Source organism: Homo sapiens, chromosome 12, assembly GCF_000001405.40.
Source record: "Homo sapiens chromosome 12, GRCh38.p14 Primary Assembly".
In the NCBI taxonomy this organism is placed as follows: domain Eukaryota; kingdom Metazoa; phylum Chordata; class Mammalia; order Primates; family Hominidae; genus Homo; species Homo sapiens.
Window position 1 is genome coordinate 28287928 of NC_000012.12, and position 18243 is coordinate 28306170.

An 18243-nucleotide genomic window follows, 5' to 3' on the forward strand; every position below is an offset into this window, starting at 1 on the left:
AGCTGTGTTCCTAGTTATTTTATTCTTTTTGTGGCAATTGTGAATGAGATTATGTTCCTAATTTTGCTCTCAGCTTGACTGTTGTTGGTGTAATAGGAATGCTAGTGATTTTTGTATATTGATATTTTGTATCCCAAGACTTCACTGAAGTTACCAGCTTAAGGAGCTTTTGGGTGGACACAGTGGGGTTTTCTAGATATAGAATCATGTTGTCTGCAAGCAGGAATAGTTTGACTTCCTTTCTTTTTATTTGGATGTACTTTATTTCTTTCTCTTTCCTGATTGCTCTGTCCAGGACTTCCAATAGTATGTTGAATAGGAGGGATGAGAAAGGGCATCCTTGTCTTTTGCTGGATTTCAAGGGAAATGCTTTCAGCTTTTGTCCATTCAGTATGATGTTGGCTGTGGGTTTGTCATGTGTCTCATTATTTTGAGGCATGTTCTTTCAATACCTAGTTTATTGAGAGTTTTTAACATGAAGGAATGTTGAATTTTATCAAAAGCCTTTTTTTGCATCTATTGAGATAATCATGTGTTTCTTGTCTTTAGTTCTATATAGGTGATGAATCATATTTATTAATTTAAGAATGTTGAACCAACCTTGCATCCCAGGGATAAAGCCTCCTTGATTGTAGGTTTTTGATGTGCTGCTGGATTTGGTTTGCCACAAGTGTTTTTGCATTGATGTTCATCAAGGATATTGGCATGAAATAATTATTTTTCGTTGTATATCTGAAAGGTTTTAGTATCAGGGTGATGTTGACCTCATAGAATGAATTAGGGTGAAGTCCCTCTTCCTCAGTTTCTTGGAATAGTTTCAGTAGGAATAGTACCAGTTGTCCTTTGTACATCTGGTAGAATTCAGATGTGGATATGTCTAGTCCTGGGCTTTTATTGGTTGGTAGGCTACTTATTATTGATTCAGTTTGCGAGCTTGTTATTGATCTGTTCAGGAATTTAATTTCTTGCTGGTTCAGTCTTAGGAGGGTGTATGTGTCCAGGAATTTATCCATTTCTTCTAGATTTTCTAGTTTGCATGCATGGAGGTGTTCATAATATTCTCTAATGGTTCTTTGTATTCCTGTGTGGTCAGTGATAATATCCCTTTTGTTGTTTCTAATTGTGTTTATTTGGATCATTACTTTTTTTCTTCTTTATTTGTCTAGCTAGTGGTCTATTTTACCAATTTTTTCAAAAAACCAACTGTTGGATTCGTTGATCTTTTGAATTTTTTTTTTTTGTCCCAGTCTCCTTGAGTTCAGCTCTGAGTTTGGTTATTTCTTGTCTTCTGCTAGCTTGGGGGTGGTTTTGCTCTTGGTTTTCTAGTTCTCTTAATTGTGATGTTAGGTTGTTAAATTGAGATCTTTCTAACTTCTTTTTGTGGACATTTAGTGCTATAAATTTCCCTTTTAACACTGTCTTAGCTGTGTCCCAGGGATTCTGGTATGTTGTATCTTTGTTCTCATTAGTTTCAAAAGACTTCTTGATTTCTGCCTTCTCTTCATTATTTACCCAAAGTTATTCAGGAGCAGGTTATTCAATTTTCATGTATTTGAATGGTGTTGAGCTTTTTTCTTAGTTTTGAATTCTATTTTTATTGCACTCACATCTGAGAATGTTTGTTACGATTTCAGTTCTTTTGCATTTGTTGAGGAGCATTTTATGTTTGATTGTGTGGTCAGTTTCAGAATACATGCCCTGTAGCGATGAGAAGAATGTGTATTCTGCTGTTTTGGGGTGGAGAGTTCTTTTCTTTTCTTTTTTTTTTTTTTTTTTTTTTTGACGACGGAGTCTCACTCTGTTGCCCAGGCTGGAGTGCAGTGGCGCGATCTCGGCTCACTGCAAGCTCCGCCTCCCAAGTTCACGCCATTCTCCTGCCTCAGCCTTCCGAGTAGCTGGGACTACAGATGCCCGCCACCACGCCTGGCTAATTTTTTGTATTTTTTATTAGAGACAGGGTTTCACCGTGTTAGCCAGGATGGTCTCGATCTCCTGACCTTGTGATCCACCCGCCTCGGCCTCCCAAAGTGCTGGGAATACAGGCGTGAGCCACCACACCTGGCCTGGGTGGAGAGTTCTGTAGTTGTCTTATCAGGTCCATTTGATCCAGTGCTGAGTTTAGGCCCTGAATATCTTAGTTATTTTTTTTTGCTTTGATGCTCTATTTCTGTCAGTGGGGTTTTGAAGTCTCCCACTATTACTGTGTGGGAGTCTAAGGCTCTTTGAAGGTCCCTATGACCTTGCTTTATGAATCTGGGTGCTCCTGTGTTGGTCGCATATACATTTAAGATAGATCTTATTGAATTGAGCCCTTTGCTATTATATAATGCTCTTACTTGTCTTTTTGGATCTCTGTTGGTTTGAAGTCTGTTTTTTTCTGACATAAGGATTGTAATCCTTGCTTTTTTTCTGATTTCCATTTGCTTGTTAAGAGTTTTCTCCATCCCTTTATTTTGAGCCTATGGATGTCATTACATGTGAGATGGGTCTCTTGAAGGCAGCATACCATTAGGTCTTTGTTCTTTATCCAGCTTGCCACTCTGTGCCTTTTAATTAAGGCATTTAGCCCATTTACATTCAAGCTTAGTACTGAAATGTGTGGATTTGATTCTGTCATCATGATGTTAGCTGTTTATTATGCAGACTTGTTTGTGTGGTTGCTTTATAATAGTGTCACTGGTCTGTGTACTTAAGTGTGTTTTTGTAGTGGCTGGTCCAAATAAAGCTTTCATCAATGCAATAGGAGCCAATTGTTTTTTATATTTTGTTCATTGTAGATGTAGGATCATATTATAGTTAAATTATCACTTTTTAAGGAGTTAAATGCTGAATATTCTAAATTTCTGATTGATATTTACCTTAAAGATTAGTTTGTGAGGCTTCATACCCAACTCATGTTTTTTAAAAGTATGCTATATTTTAGCATTGGTATTTCTGGTTAAAATGTTAAGTTTTTTGTAAATTTTAGTTTTTTATGTTTATCAAGAGGTATAACTTTGGTATTTTACTGTACTCTTATGGCAGAACATTCTTTATATGAAGGTATTTCCTCACCACCGTATCCTTGTTTTTTTTACTTTGAAAAAATGTTAGGTTGGTGCAAAAGTAATTTCTGTTTTGGACCATGAATTTTAAATCATTATAACTAGGCTTGAACCATCTTTATTAAGCAAATTAGGAAGCATTACAATCAACACATTTTTGCCAACAAGAAACAAGGTTGTTTATTCCTGTAGTGTAAAAATCCATGCTTCAGGATTCAGTAACCTCTTGGAAAGCATTTTCTGCACCCTGCTGGTTGTGGAAATGTTTTCCCTGAAAAAGTTGTTGAGATGCTTGAAAAAGCGGTAGTTGGTTGGCAAGAGGTCAGGTAAATATAGCAGATGAGACAAAACTTCATGGCTCAATTCGTTCAACTTTTGAAGCATTGGTTGTGCAACATGTGGTCAGGCATTGTCATGGACAAGAATTGGGCCCTTTCTGTTGACCAGTGCTGGCTGCAGGCATTGTAGTTTTCAGTGCATCTCATTGATTTGCCAAGCATACTTCTCAGATGTAGTGGTTTTGCTGAGATTCAGAAAGCTGTTGTGGATCATACCAGCATCAGACCACCAACCAGTGACCATGAACTTTTTGTGGTGCAAGTTTGGCTTTGGGAAGTACTTTGGAGCTTCTTTGCGGTCTACCTACTGAGCTGGTAGTTGCCAGTTGTCATATAAAATCCACTTTTTGTTGCATGTCACAATCTGATTGAGAAATGATTCATTGTTGTTGCATAGAATAAGAGAAGACAACACTTCAAAATGATGATTTTTTTGATTTTCGCTCAGCTCATGAGGCACCCACTTATTGAGCTTTTTCACCTTTCCAGTTTGCTTCAAATGCTAAATGACTGTAGAATGGTCAACGTTGAGTTCTTTGGCAACCTCTTGTATAGTTGATCAGCCTTGATGATTGCTCTCAATTGGTTGTTGTCAACTTCCAATGGCCAGCCACTGTGATCTTCATCTTCAAGGCTCTTGTCTCCTTTGCAAAACTTCTTGAACCACCAATGCACTGTACGTTTATTAGCAGTTCCTTGGCCAAATGCGTTGTTGATGTTGCGAGTTGTCTCTGCTGCTTTATCACCCGTTTTGAACTAAAATAAGAAAATTGCTCATATTTGCTTTTTGTCTAACATCATTTCCATGGTCTAAAATAAACATAAAATAAACAGCAGGTAATATGTCATCAGCAAAAGAACATAAAGTGAGAAATGCCCATTAAAATGATGTATGACATAACCACATTAATTTAAGAATGTGTTCCAACATCAAACAGCGAATTCCAACAATGCAAAAACTGCAGTTACTTTAGCAACAACCTAATACAAATGAAAGTCTACCGTTTTCAATTTATTTCACCCTTATGGCTGATTAACTTTAATGGATATAATAACAATAGAACTTTATTTAAACTACATATTCCTTGTAAATTTGGGCATATAAAATTTCTTGGAGGTCATTTAAGAGTTTAGGTGTCTAATAGCTGCTATTTCTTTTAACCTGCTTGAAAAGAGGAGATAATGACACCTAACATTGAGTTGAGAGTTGGAGTCTTTAGTAGGCTCAAATTTTGCTTTTGAGTCCCTGTTATGGGTTGATGGCACATGTGTTTAGGTATCTAGCTCTAAGTATATGTTGGTGTGATGACTAAGTTTTTTTTTTTAATAAATAGTATTTTCACCATATTAATATAAAATAGGCTGGTCTTCTGCTGTTGAAACTATTATGATTATCAAATTTATAAAAGCCACAAGAATGTAGTATATAAATTGTCAGGTAGACGTACATTGCCTTTGTTAATACTTAAATAGAGTACTCTATTTGGGTAGTACCCAATGCTTCTCAAACTGTAGATGTACACTTGGGCAAAGTGCCCTCAAAACTCTAAAGTGAATAATTCTGTTTATGTACAATAATACTTACGTTGTGTGTACTCTGGAAATTATTATGGGGCTGTTTATGTCATTTTAGGATGCTGAGTCAGCTTCTGGCAAATGGTATATTTGTAATCTGACAACTGTCAATAAGGTGCTAAAAGTCTTTTTCATAGATATTTCTATTTTATGATTTAAATAACAGGCAAAGAAAAGAAAGAAGATTTTAATTTCAAAATACATAGTGATTAAGTCAAAGATTATTAATATACATTATAAAAAGATTAACAGCAAGAGTGTCTTGGGCATATAGATAGAAAATAGAACAGAAGAAGCTCATTCAGAGAATAAGACATAAAATCTGCAACTGAAGAAAAACTAGCATACATAGAAGTAAGAGAACTGAAAATAATCTTCGTAGCTTAAATGAATGCAAATTGTGGCAAGCTTTATATTGAAGGTTCAAAGAAAGAGAAGAAAGAACAAATAATTGTGTTTCATTTTGCTAATATTCACATACTGTAACTAGATTTCCTATTATAATTAACTGGATGGGCAGAAGGGGACTTTAAAGTAGTTTTGTTTTACTTCATTAAGTCTTGTTTTCTACTGGCAGTAGGATATAGTTAAGAGCTTATTTGAGGACTGTTGCTTTTATTTTATTCTTTTAATTGGCATTGTTAAATCACTGTATATATGCTAGCTAGTCATGTTTTGCTTTCTCTTTAGGCATTTAATGATAGACTGTTGTTGGTATCAATTAAATATATACTTTATGAAAACATTAGTTTCTTAAAATTCTTTTTGAAGTTTTCATCTCTCTGTCTCTTTTTAACTTATCCTTTTCCTATTTGGTTCTCTGTAGTCTGTTTCCTTGTCTGTATTTTTTTTTTTATTCCAGGAGATGGGGTCTTGGTCTGCCACCCAGGCTGGAGTACAATGATGTGATCATAGTTCACTGCAGCTGCGAACTCCTGGGTTCAAACCATCTTTCCACCTCAGCCTTCCCAGTAGCTGGGACACTGTGCTCACCTCCTTGTCTGCAGTGCGCCTGGCTCCTTGCCTGTATTTTTCATTGTTTTTTTAACTACTGGAAAAATAACACACACACGCCCAAAATCTTAACATGATTTTAACTTGCATTTTTAGTACTTGTGGAGTGGAGAATATGAGCTTGAGATTTAGAGTAAAACAGACATGAACTCTGCTCGTGACTTGACAGTCTTCTAGTTTGTGAAATTTTGTACTTTATAATTAAACTCAGAATCTTAGATTCTTCATTTATGAAATGGTTGTTATAGGGAGGACGAAATAAGTTGACACACACACAAAAATACTGCACAGCACCTAGACCAGAGTATGTACCAGGTCAATGACAGTTCTCTCCGCTTTTTTCATTTCACTTAACAGAAATTTGAGCTGTTCTTTTTGGTCATTGATAGGCTTTGGCTCTGTGTCCCCATCCAAATCTCATCTCGAATTGTAATCCCCCCATGTCAAGGGAGGGACCTGGTGGGAGGTGATTGGGTTATGGAGGTGGTTCCCCCCGCATGCTGTTCTTGTGGTAATGAGTTCTCACAGGATCTTCTGGTTTGAAAGTGTCGCCCTTCCCCTTCTCTGGCTCTCTTTCTCCTTCTGTCTTGTGAAAAAGGTGCCTGCTTCCCCTTTGCCTTCTGCTGTGATTGCAAGCTTCCTGAGGCATCCCCAGCCATGTGGAACAGTGAGTCAGTTAAACCTGCTTCCTCTTTTTTTTTTTGAGATGGGATTTCACTCTTGTTGCCCAGGCTGGAGTGCAGTGGCACGATTTCGGCTCACTGCAACCTCTACCTCCTGGGTTCAAGCGATTCCCTTGCCTCAGCTTCCCGAGTAGCTGGGATTACAGGCAGGTGCCACTACACCCAGCTAATTTTTGGATTTTTAGTAGAGATGGGGTTTTGCCATGTTGGCCAGGCTGGTTTGGAACTCCCGACCTCAGGTGATCCACCTGCTTCAGCCTCCCAAAGTGCTGGGATTACAGGTTTGAGCTACTACGCTTGACCTAAACCTGCTTCTTTATACATTACTCAGTCTCAGGTAGTATCTTTATAGCAATGTGAGAATGAATTAATAGTCATGTAAAAAAAGATATTTTAAAATGAAAACTATTCATTGTCTACATTCAGCACAAGTTTCAGGGTTATCTGATTCTAGCCCTGTTCATTGTCTTTGAGTTATTTTATATTTACAGCTCTTCATATGTTGTAGGAACTGATAGACATGAAATTCTGATTGACTCTGCACCTTTAGAAAAAAAGCAGTTGGACCTCCATTTGCAATTTATTTCAATATTTGTTCACTCTCTATAAATTTGTCCTATTTTAAATGATTTTTCCTTTGAAGTGATTATAACATTTGCCTGGTTCCCTCATTGTGTGAGTAGACTAAAATCTTTAATATATATCTACTTTATCGCTGTGAGTCAAGACTTTATCTTTTTTTTGAAAATCATGTTTTTATATTTAAAATATTTCCAAGAAATGTCAAAATGAAAATTTTAAATTGATTTATTGAACACCTTTGATATACAGCACACTAATATTTTAATCATTTGCTATTTGGAGTGTTGCAATAGTGATATTAAACTACAAACAATGGCAAGTCGTTCCATGACATCTGACAACTAAGTACTTTAGATAATAATTTATTTATTTTTTATTATTTTAATACCAATGTGATAATCTCAGGGTAAAGTTTTCTAATGTAAAGGATTGCTCTGTATCTTACATTACATAGTGTCTTGAATATAGTGCTACTCTACGATTGTATTTTGAATAAGTGATTAGATAAATGAGTCCAATAAAGAACACAGGCACTGTTTTCTTAAGTGTGTCATTATGTTCTAATGAGTTTAAAAAATTTCTTAAGGATCTAGTTTCCAGAGACTCAGGAACCAAAAACTACCTCAGCAGGAACTTAACATTTTAAAATGATGTGTTCGAAATGTATCACTTTAGCTTAAGGTGTGATATAATTTTTTTCTTGCACTTCAGAAATTGCTTAGAATTTTGTTCACTCAGTGTGAGCAAGAGTTAAAAGAAAAAAGCCTTTTATTTTTAGATAGTAAATTTGGATAAAAAGATACTATGATTTTGGAATATTCCTCCCATATTCTTCAAACTGTTTAGACTCCTTATATCATTTTTTATTGTATTTTACTTCATTAGTTTATTTCTATTTTCATTTATTTTTGGATGCTGTGGTATTTTCTTGCTGTGATATTAAAGAAGCAGTGGGGAATGAAATTTTTTTAAATTTTATTTTTTAAATTTTTTATTTTTTAAATTTTCCCATTCAAAAAGTTACATTTATATTTATGTTTATATTATATAATTTTATGTTGACTATGCTAGCAAAAGATTACGAGGCCTCTTCCTCTGCATCTCTTTTAGAAATGGTAACAGTTTTTTTTGTCATTTGCAGAATTCCGAAATTTGATTATTGCAATTTGTAGTATACAGGGTTACCCAAACAGCCCTCTGGAACACTGTTATTCCTCAAAGAAGCGAGTAGAGGTGGAGTCTTTGTTTATAGTATGCCAATAACTCTAGAAAATAATTAAAAATAACTAAAATGGTAGACATTTTATCAATGATGTAATCATTTTATTAAGGAAGTGATCATTTTTATTTCCTATGTTCCTCCATCTTGGCCTTTTAAAAGCTATTATATATTTTTCCTTCAATTTCCAACCTAGATGTCTTAGATACATCCTAAAATCCATTATATTACATCTATATATCTATACATATAATGTATAAACATATACATTATATATCAAGGGTCATTTCCTGTGAGTAACCCTCCTTGGATAGAAACAAGGATTTTCTAAACACTGACTTTCACCATTTTCTGTAAATTTTAAAAGAAATGTGTACACTTAGTTTCAAATTTTTTTTAGTAACATCTTCATATTTAGATATGTGATTTGGATCTCCATAAGCACTTGCAAATTCTTTGTTTTTTCATAACAGTGATTTCCCTACATGAGTGATTTTCAAAGGTGTCAGCAATGAGCATTGAATAGGAAGATGTGGGTTCAACAACATAGACCTGAAAATACATTTGGGGATCAGAGGTGAGATGACAGTTTATGAAAGCAGATAGTCACCAGCCTCTAATGTACCTAAAAGATGAAAGAATGGGATAAAAACAAGGACCTGCATTGGATAATAGGGTGTTTGAATGAAAATTAAAGGTCAAAACTATTTTCTGAGTTACAAGATATAAAAATCATTATTTTATTGGCATATTCTTCTTGAATTATTTTAATCATTAACAGAGATAAACAGATTTTTTTGGGGGGTATAGGTAAAAGTGCATGGCTATTTTTACCCATTTCTTATTTAGAATTAATAAGAGTTATTATGTTTATGTAAAATGAAACAGAAATGACCACAAACAGAATTACTGGGAAAAAAAATTGCACACTGTTTGGAAACTTGGTGCTCCTTCGCCTGTGTCATGTTTTGACATAGTTAGCTTTTTGTGCTTTAGAAGAGATCTGTCAATGAAAAATGATATGTCCAAGTGACTTGCTAGTTACCCTTACAAAGGTAAAAATGAAGAACTGCCATTCATTGCACTTTTGATTTGCTTTGTAGCTGTGAAGGAATATTGTGCTGACTTATATTCTCTAAATCTTAGAACACCAAGGATTTCACATTTAAAATAAAGCAAATTGTATCTATACTCTGCTTAAGCATTAAAAGCAAGCAAACAAACAACATACCAAAAGAAACAAAATTTTATAGATTTCTCTTAAAAAATTTTGGCTGTGTTTTTGTGGAAGTAGGTGTTGTTGGGCACACCTGATTTCCTGCATTTAAAGATTTTGGGCATGAGGACTGACATTACACGATTTTTAATAGACCAAAGAATACTGTAAGCACTTTGGAACTTTAAAAATTGCACCTTGACTAAGTGAGAAGATATTTATATTTTACATACTAGAATTTGTAATTTTAAAATTATGTTTACAATTTCCCATTTATTAAGCACACACATTTAAAACATGTATACCATCGTTACTATAAAATAACATTTTGTGTCTATATACGTGGACAATATTTACTAGGACAGATTTTCTTCTAAGGGTTGAATGTTATAGGGCAGTCACCTTAAATTAGTGAAGCTATGTGAATTGTAGCATAGCAAAAACTGTAGAGGTTTAACTGAAAAAAATCTAGTTCTCACTTAGAGGGAAATAATATGCTCTCTTTTCTTTCACAGATGCTATTCATTTGTTTTCTCATTTTATATTAAAAATTGGATTTGGGTTATGAAACACTTAGTAAACATAGTATCAAATTCAACAACTTTCTGAAAATTCCTCTGATGCCTCATAAATTGATAGTGCCTATGAATTGTAAGCACTTTACATTCAACTTTTCATATGTCTTATTGGTCTGATTAGCAGGATGCCAGAAAGGCTTGCATCTCCAAATTTTGTGTTTATTGGTCTGTTGCTGATTGTTGAGTTTTTTTTTTTTTTTTCCCCCCACAAAAGCTAGTTGGCCCCTATTAGTCTTTACTTTGAAGCTGGATCTTTTCCTATCCTATTAACTCAGAGCATGCTTTGATTGGGGGTTAACGTGACTCCTGGGGGTTGATTATTTCAATTAGGTAGGATATTGAAACAAAAGTCTTTAGAAGTATATTTTTAAGCAGGTATAGTTATTTTTTTATTTTTTCTTTGTTGTATTTAAAAATAACACACCTGAATCTGCTATTTAAGAACTAGAGTGTTAACCAATTTCATAATTTTTCTTCTATCCTATCCCTTTGCCTTTGTCCCTAGAGGAACCACTGTCCTCCATTTTATGTTAGCATTTCCTTGATTTTGTAAAAAAAAAACAACAACAACAACAACAAAAAATTGTGTGTGCTTGTGTGCACATATATATATATATAAGAGCTTTGCTTGTTTATGTGCTTTATAAAAATGGGTTCATACTGTTTGAAATCTTCAGGATTTATATTTTTAACCCAAATTTTGTCTCTAAGATTCAGTCATGTTGTTTCATATATCTGTAGTTTCTTTATTTTCACTGATAAATAATTGATTATGCCACAACTCAGGTACCCATCTTATGTCAGTATTTAGGTTGTTGCCACTTGTTTGCTGTTATGAACAGTAACTGGTGGAAACTTTCTGATATATATTTTTAGTGGTAGCAAGTCTTTCTTTATTTAGCAGTTTTGCCTAGGGAAGGATTTTGTGGAGACCAAGTTATTTTTCCTCTGGTGAGTAATTCTTGAGATGTGTTGTTTCTTTTTTATTATATAATTTCCCCTTTGCTGTTTCCTCTTTACTTTTATTGTGACTTACAGAAAACCTTGAAGAAATGGACAAATAATTCCCATATATCCTTCATTCATTTTCTTCAAAGGTTAACATTTTACCACATTTGCTTTATCATTTTCTTCCCTTTCCTTCTCATTTTTCTTATTCTCCTCAGTATTTATTTAGTGTTCTTTTTGTTCTTACACTGAGGACATTCAATCAAAATACTATGTCCCAAAGTAACTTGGGTTAGTTCTTACCCCTCCCTCTCTCATACTGTGTTATGTGATCAGGTTATTCATTTGCAAGTTCATTTGTTGTTCTTTGTATTCTGTTTTAGGATTTCTCATTCCCCTGCCTGTTGATTTCATTTTTCTTTTATTGAGTATGTGAAACGTTAACATGGTGCCAAAAGTTGAGAACTGTATTAAAACCTATATTCAGAGAAGAGAGATTTCTTGCCATTCATTTATTATCTTTCGACCTCATTCCTGCCGATCTTCCACTATCAGTCCTGTTTGTTTTTGGCTTTATCCTTCATACATTTCCTTTACAGCAAATAAGTAGATGTATGTATCTTTGTCTTTTCATATATTTAAGGGCCTTTTGTATATTTTCATTTTGGTAAATCGTTCACATCTTTTGCTCATTGTATGGATATTTTTTATTCCCTCAACCTTTTTTTCCCTCTAGGTTTTAAATGTTCTTTATTTATTAGGAATATTGGCCCTTATCTGTGATACATGTTATACATATTATTGTTTTCCCCAGGTTTTAAATGTTCTTTATTTATTAGGAATATTGGCCCTTATCTGTGATACATGTTATACATATTAGTTTTTTTTCTAAGTTGTTAGTTGGTTTTTATATTTGTTTTGACAGAAAAAACGTTTAATATATTATATGATGAAATTAGTCAGTCTTTCCTTGTGTTGTATCTATAATCAAGCCATAGTTAGAATGCCCTTTCTTATGTCTAAGGTAAAGAAGAACTCACTCATGTTTTCTCCTAGGGTATATGATCTCATTATTAGACTGTTTAGATCCCTGATCCTCTTTGGAGTTTCTTTTTGTGTATGATATGATATAAGGGTTTAATTTTATTTAATACTTTTTTCCAAACAACTAATCAATTGTTCTATCACTATTTATTAACAAGCCCATCTTTGACTCAGTGATTTGAAATGCTGCTTTTATCACATACTTGCTTCACACATACTTGGATCTATTTTTGGACTTTCTGATGTGTTCTTCTGATCTGTTAATTGCTGTGCCAAATAATATACCATCTTATTTATAGAGATTGTATAACATAATTTAATACAGCAAATTTTGATAAATAGTATGTTTTAATATAGTTTAATTTAGTATATTTTAATAAGAGGGAATGGTATTCCTCATATAGCTTTTCTCTTTTAGGGTTGTTCTGTTCTCTCAAGCTCACTTTTTTAATGTCACATTTAATGCCCATTTATCTAACTTCATTATAAAAAACTTATTGGGATTGTATTAAGCCTATACATTAATTAAGAGAGGACTGGGATTTTTATGATATTTAGATGTTCTATCCTATTACAAGAGATATCTTTACCTTTGTTTAGGTCTATTTCTTTGTCTTTCAGGAGTGTTTTAAAGTTTTCCTCACATTTCTTGCTAAATTTATTCTTAAGTACTGTATTGTGTCTTTGTTGCAGTGAAAAATACTTATTTTCTTTACCATTACATTCTCTAAATGGTTATTGTTTTTACATATGAATTATATTGGTTTCTGCTGGTCAAGTTTATATCCTGCTGCTCTTCTGAATGCTTTTATTATTAGAGTTAATTTTATATGTATTCTCATGATAGAAACATGAAATTATTTTCACCTTTTTTCTTTTTTTATGGTGCTATTTCATTTCTCTTGTTGACTTGCATTGATTTGTGCCTTTAGTACAATGTTTAAAGATAGAGAGTTAGTAGGCATCCTTTTCTTATTCCTCATCTTTACGGAAACACCTTTAATCTTTTCCCATTAGTTAAGTTGCTGCCTTTAGGGCTGAGGTTTATATATTTTATTTTCTTAAAAAGCGTCCATCAGTTTCTATTTTCTGATTGTTTTTAACTGAAATGGGTGTTCAGTTTTATCACGGGCATTTCCAGAGTCTGGAGATAATCATATAATTTTTTTTAAAATTCTGTTATTATGGAGTATTATATTAATGAATTCTTTAATAGGTAACCAGTCTTGCATTCCTGGAGTAAGTTCTATTGGTTCATTACATATCATTTTAATATGGTGCTGGATTCATTTTTTTAATATTTTATTTAGAACTTATACTTCATTATAAGTGATACTCTAATCTGAAAATCTTGAATTTTTCTGATTTTTAATGTCTTTATAAGGTGTTACTATTAATGTTATGTTAATTGTAGTGTTAATGAAATTTTCCTTCATTTTCAGTGTTCTTCTCAATTTTAGAATATTGGGTTTGTATAATGTTTGAATTTTTGGTAGAAATCCTCTTGAAATAATCTGAGCCTGATGCTTTCTTTGTTGGGTAGTTGCCTATTTTTTTCACAGAAAATTTATTTTTAAAAGTTGAAAAAAATATTTAATCAGATCAACTTTTAGAAACTACATTTCTTTAGGAATTTTTTCATTTTTCTAAATGCTTTGATTTACTTAGAAGTCTGTAGAAGAGCCTTATTGCTTACTAATTTTTTCTGTTTTGATAGCTATATTCTCCTTGTCATTTAATTTTGTATATTTGAGTTCTTTCCCTTTTATTGTTAGTTACTATTTTGTTTAATTTTCATTTGAAATTCAGGATTTTGATTAGTTATATGTACCCTTTTTTCTTACTAATCTACTTCAATGAATGCAGTATCTTTATTATTTTCCTTATTCTACTTTTTAAATTTTCTTTTTTGTTTCTTTTTTAGTTTGAGCTCGGAATTTAATTCATTGTTTTTTAACTTCAGGGCTATGAAGTTTGCTTTCTAATCACTGCTTTAAATGTATCCCATATATTGTTATGCAATGGTTTGTCACTATTTCTTAGAAATCTTATAGTATCTTAACAGATAATGAAAAATTAGAATTATATTGTGCTTGGGTGAATAATGGGATAGGTGTGAAAAGATTTCTGGAAAAGCTTGTTTTGAATGTTGCCAACTTATAACTTCAATGACAACTTCCATTTACTGAATGTTTAGCATGTATCTGTCACTGAGCTCTAGGTGGTTGGTATGCATTATCTCATTTAAGCTGTATAACATCATTTTGAGCTACCTATTATTTCCCCATTTTCACAAGAGCAAACTTTGGCTTAGAAGAGTTATTGTAATTTGCCTAAGGCTGCATAATGCATAAATTGTTAATGTTTAAATTTGAATCCATTTCTTATGGCTTTTACCTAGACAGTAATATTGTGAGGTCACAGAGGTCAGTACCTCTGACGGGGCAGAGTCAGGGAATGTTAGTAGTATGGTGTGACTGGAGTGAAGTTAGCACTTAGTGGTATCATTTCTGGCTTGAGCAAATGGTTTTTTGATGTATTATTAACTGAGATGGAAAACATGAAGCAAAGCAGGTTTATTTAAGATGATGGGCAAGCTTGGTATACCTGTTGGACAACTGAATGAAACTATCTGGTAGTAAGGTGAGTATATAGATCTAGATTTCTGCAGAGTGATTTATACTGGAGATGTATTGGGTATCATTAGCTTAGAGGTGGTAATTTGAAGAGTGGGTTTTGAAAGTGGTAATCTGGAATATTCAGTACAGTGAGAAGATCAGAAGAGATATGAAATAATGAAACTTGTGGTTTATTGGAGAAAGAGCCTGAAAAGGAATCAAGGAAATGGTAGTCAAAGTGTTAGGTAGAAATATAGGAGATCATGTGTAACAGGCACCAAAGGAGGAGTTTTAAGAAAAATGGAGGGTCATTATCATTCTCTGGAGAACTAAAGAAAGATAAGATCAGAAGTGTTTATTTGATTTAATAGTATCTGATACAACAAGTAGTATCTTAAATAACAGATCCAGTGGAGTTATGAAGATTGGGTCGAGGAAGAAGAAAATGGAGACGGGTTATGAACTGTTGAAGAATTTTTGTTATGAAGAGAAAGGGTCATAGTATGGTACTAGCTAGTATGTGATTCAGAGTACCTTCATTCCCTCTCTCTGCTGTCCTCCTTCAACCTCTCCCTTTCATCTCTTTCTTTTTCTCTTTTCTTTCTTACTCGCTCCCACTCTTCCTGTTTTCTACCTACTTTCCCTCCTTTCTCCCTAACATGATACACTTGAACATTTAATGTTACAGGATGAGAATTTAACTTGGGACAGCATGACATCTTATCTTATGCCTATAAATATGAGTAACATAAATAAATATTAAAATAGGTGTTAGATCAGAATGAAACTGTTAATAGTTTCTTGAATACAGGATCACAGCCACATATATACCTTTAAACATACTTGCTCAATAAATTTTAATGATAATCTTTGAAATAATAAAATATCAACACTTTACTAAATGCTTTACATGTTTTCCACAATTTCAACCTTATCAGCAAAATCTCTGCCCATTTTATAGATGAGAAAACTGAAGCACAGAGAAGTTAAGTAACTTGTCCATTGTTCTATACCTGGTATGGCAGTGTGGTTCTAGAGTCTATGCTCTTAATCACAAGGCTGTATTCCTTCTCACTCCACTGTACTAGTTATTTTCATGCCTTTAAAAATTCATTAGTAATATTTTTGTTGTAAATTATGATACAGAATTAGAAGTGGGAATATTTTGACATTTTGAAGAACTCTCACTATTCTACTTGTATAGAATAGTGAAGATTAGAAAAAAAATAATTTCCGAAGTAGGGATACCAAGTACAAACATCAATTAAAATTTCACTTTTCTGTATTTGAGTTAAAGAATTGAAATGCTTGGCCAGGTGTGGTCGCTCACACCTGTAATCCTAGCACTTTGGGAGGCCGAGGCGGGCGGATCATGAGGTCAGGAGATCGAGACTATCCTGGCCAACATGGTGAAACCCCATCTCTACTAAAAATACAAAAATTAGCTGAGCGTGGTGGCGAGTGCCTGTAATCCCAGCTACTTGGGAGGCTGAGGCAGGAGAATTGCTTGAACCCAGGAGGTGGAAATTGCAGTGAGCCAAGATCACGCCATTGTACTCCAGCCTGGGTAACGGGGTGAGACTCCGTCTAAAAAAAAAAAAAAAAAAAAAAAAAAGAAAAAAAAAAAAAGAAAAAAAGAAATGCCTATGGGTGAAGCTAGACTATATTAATTATATAGTATGGCACATAATATGTCAAAAATGCAATATTGCTAAAAATGCAATATTGCTACATAATAAAAGTGTGTATAAGATAATTGAATTCTTAGAATATCAATCACAAATTGATGTATTTGTTATTTTGTTTATATCTAATGGCCTTATAAATGTCTTTCTTCAGGGAAACATGCAATTTTCATTGTGAGCTGCCTTCCAGAGTTTATGGTAGAACTTCACTGAAGTTGCTGATGCCAATGTGGAATAAAGGTCTTTATAGTTTAGAAAGTTAAAATGTATAAATGGGCTGCACCAAAAAGTGACTCACTTTCCTTAAATTTTAAAATACATAATACAAACTTATTTGAATTTTTAGAAAGAACACTGGAAAATCAAGTAATATATGTACGACATGTTTATCTTGCTTATATCCGTACTTTTGTCCTATGTCATACTTGATATTTGGATTCCCTTTCAGGACCTTTATATTTGAGCTCTAATCACAATCTATTTTTCTTAAAGCTAATTGAAAAAGAAAAGAAAAGTTATTATTTTTCTGTATGGACAATTCAGCAAACTTAAACTGACTTTATTTTAGCATGAAAAACCTTTTGTTTGTTACAAAAGAGACTTTAATGCAGATATTGTTGGATTAGTTGTTTCAAAGTAATTGTTCTTTCCCCTTACTTATTTTATTGTAATAAATATTAATTGGTTGACTTGCCTACCGAGTCATAAAGCCATTGAGTACATGGGTGCATCTGTATTGCTCACTGCTGTCTCTTCAGTCCCTAATGCCTGTGACTGGCACTGGTAGGTACTCTAGCGCTTTTTAAAAAAATTAAATGGATTTTTCTGAATGAAATGTATGAATATATAATATATATATATGAGTATTTTCTCTATGTTGGAAATGTACTCCTTATGGCACTGTGTTGGTATGTAAACACTAAGACTTTATAAAACTATTTTGTTTGCCTGGATCTTACATGGAAGTGTCATGTTAAATTAAAAACACTAGTTTTAGCTTTCACAGATTGGGCCCTGAGGAATAGTCATAGAATCCTGATTTTTCACTCTCATTGCTTTTACTTTCCTTACTTTTTTCTTTTCCTCTATTTCAGCTCTCTTTCTTCCTTTCAACCTGTTCCCTCTCTGTTTTCTCTTTAATAATCCTATCCTTTTTGTTGTTGTTGTTTTTCTTTAGTATCTGGAGTCCATCTTTCACCATCTTCTCCTGAGATTGTACTGGACCGTGACCACTCTTCTTCCATTGGCTGCCTCTCTTCTGATGCCATTATTTCATCACCAGAGAATACACATGCAGCAAATAGCATTGTGAGTCAAACTATTCCAAAAGCACAGGTAAAGACAAACATATTTTTAAAGGAGGTTTGCATATTTAAAAAATTGCCTGCTAATTTAATTGTTGCTTTTTTAATTTCTTTTTTAGCCTATTTGTCTAAAAGAAGTATTTCTGCAATAGATATTCTAATTTTGAGGCTAATACTTAGAATTCAAAAAAACTATATAATATGTTTGTGTCGTGGCACAATTGCAAAGTATTTAAGTAGCCTTAGTTACCAAAGTATGATTTGAGTATCTCATTTATTAAACTTTACTTGGCTTTGCATTTCAAATCTTGAACTTGAAAAGGGAAAATAATACAAAGAAGAATAAGTATTTCTCTTTTCAGCGAATCTTACCGCACATTTTCAGGTATTCAAGC

At 33.4% G+C, this 18243-nt stretch overlaps 1 protein-coding gene across 37 annotated transcripts in view, besides 1 other annotated feature; it reads left to right on the top strand.

The window, feature by feature from the left end:
- Window positions 1-18243, top strand: part of CCDC91 (coiled-coil domain containing 91) — a 359711-nt gene that overhangs the window by 97472 nt on the left and 243996 nt on the right. For 24 of the 37 annotated variants that reach the window (NM_001352079.2, XM_047429083.1, XM_047429081.1 and 21 more), the window contains one exon: window positions 17722-17879. In NM_001352079.2, the coding sequence (NP_001339008.1) occupies window positions 17722-17879 (158 nt within the window). Of the gene's footprint in view, window positions 1-14703; window positions 14885-16698; window positions 16785-17721; window positions 17880-18243 lie in introns of those variants that run through there. The other 13 variants (XM_047429090.1, XM_047429089.1, XM_024449036.2 and 10 more) reach the window with 4 other exon arrangements.
- Window positions 2827-2996: an enhancer, noted in NCBI's record as "experimental_27393 CRE fragment used in MPRA reporter constructs". NCBI's record gives its function as "activates a minimal promoter by MPRAs in K562 erythroleukemia cells, with activity observed for the non-introgressed 12:28443772 variant allele {active_cell/tissue: K562}" and the evidence as "EXISTENCE:reporter gene assay evidence [ECO:0000049][PMID:34662402]".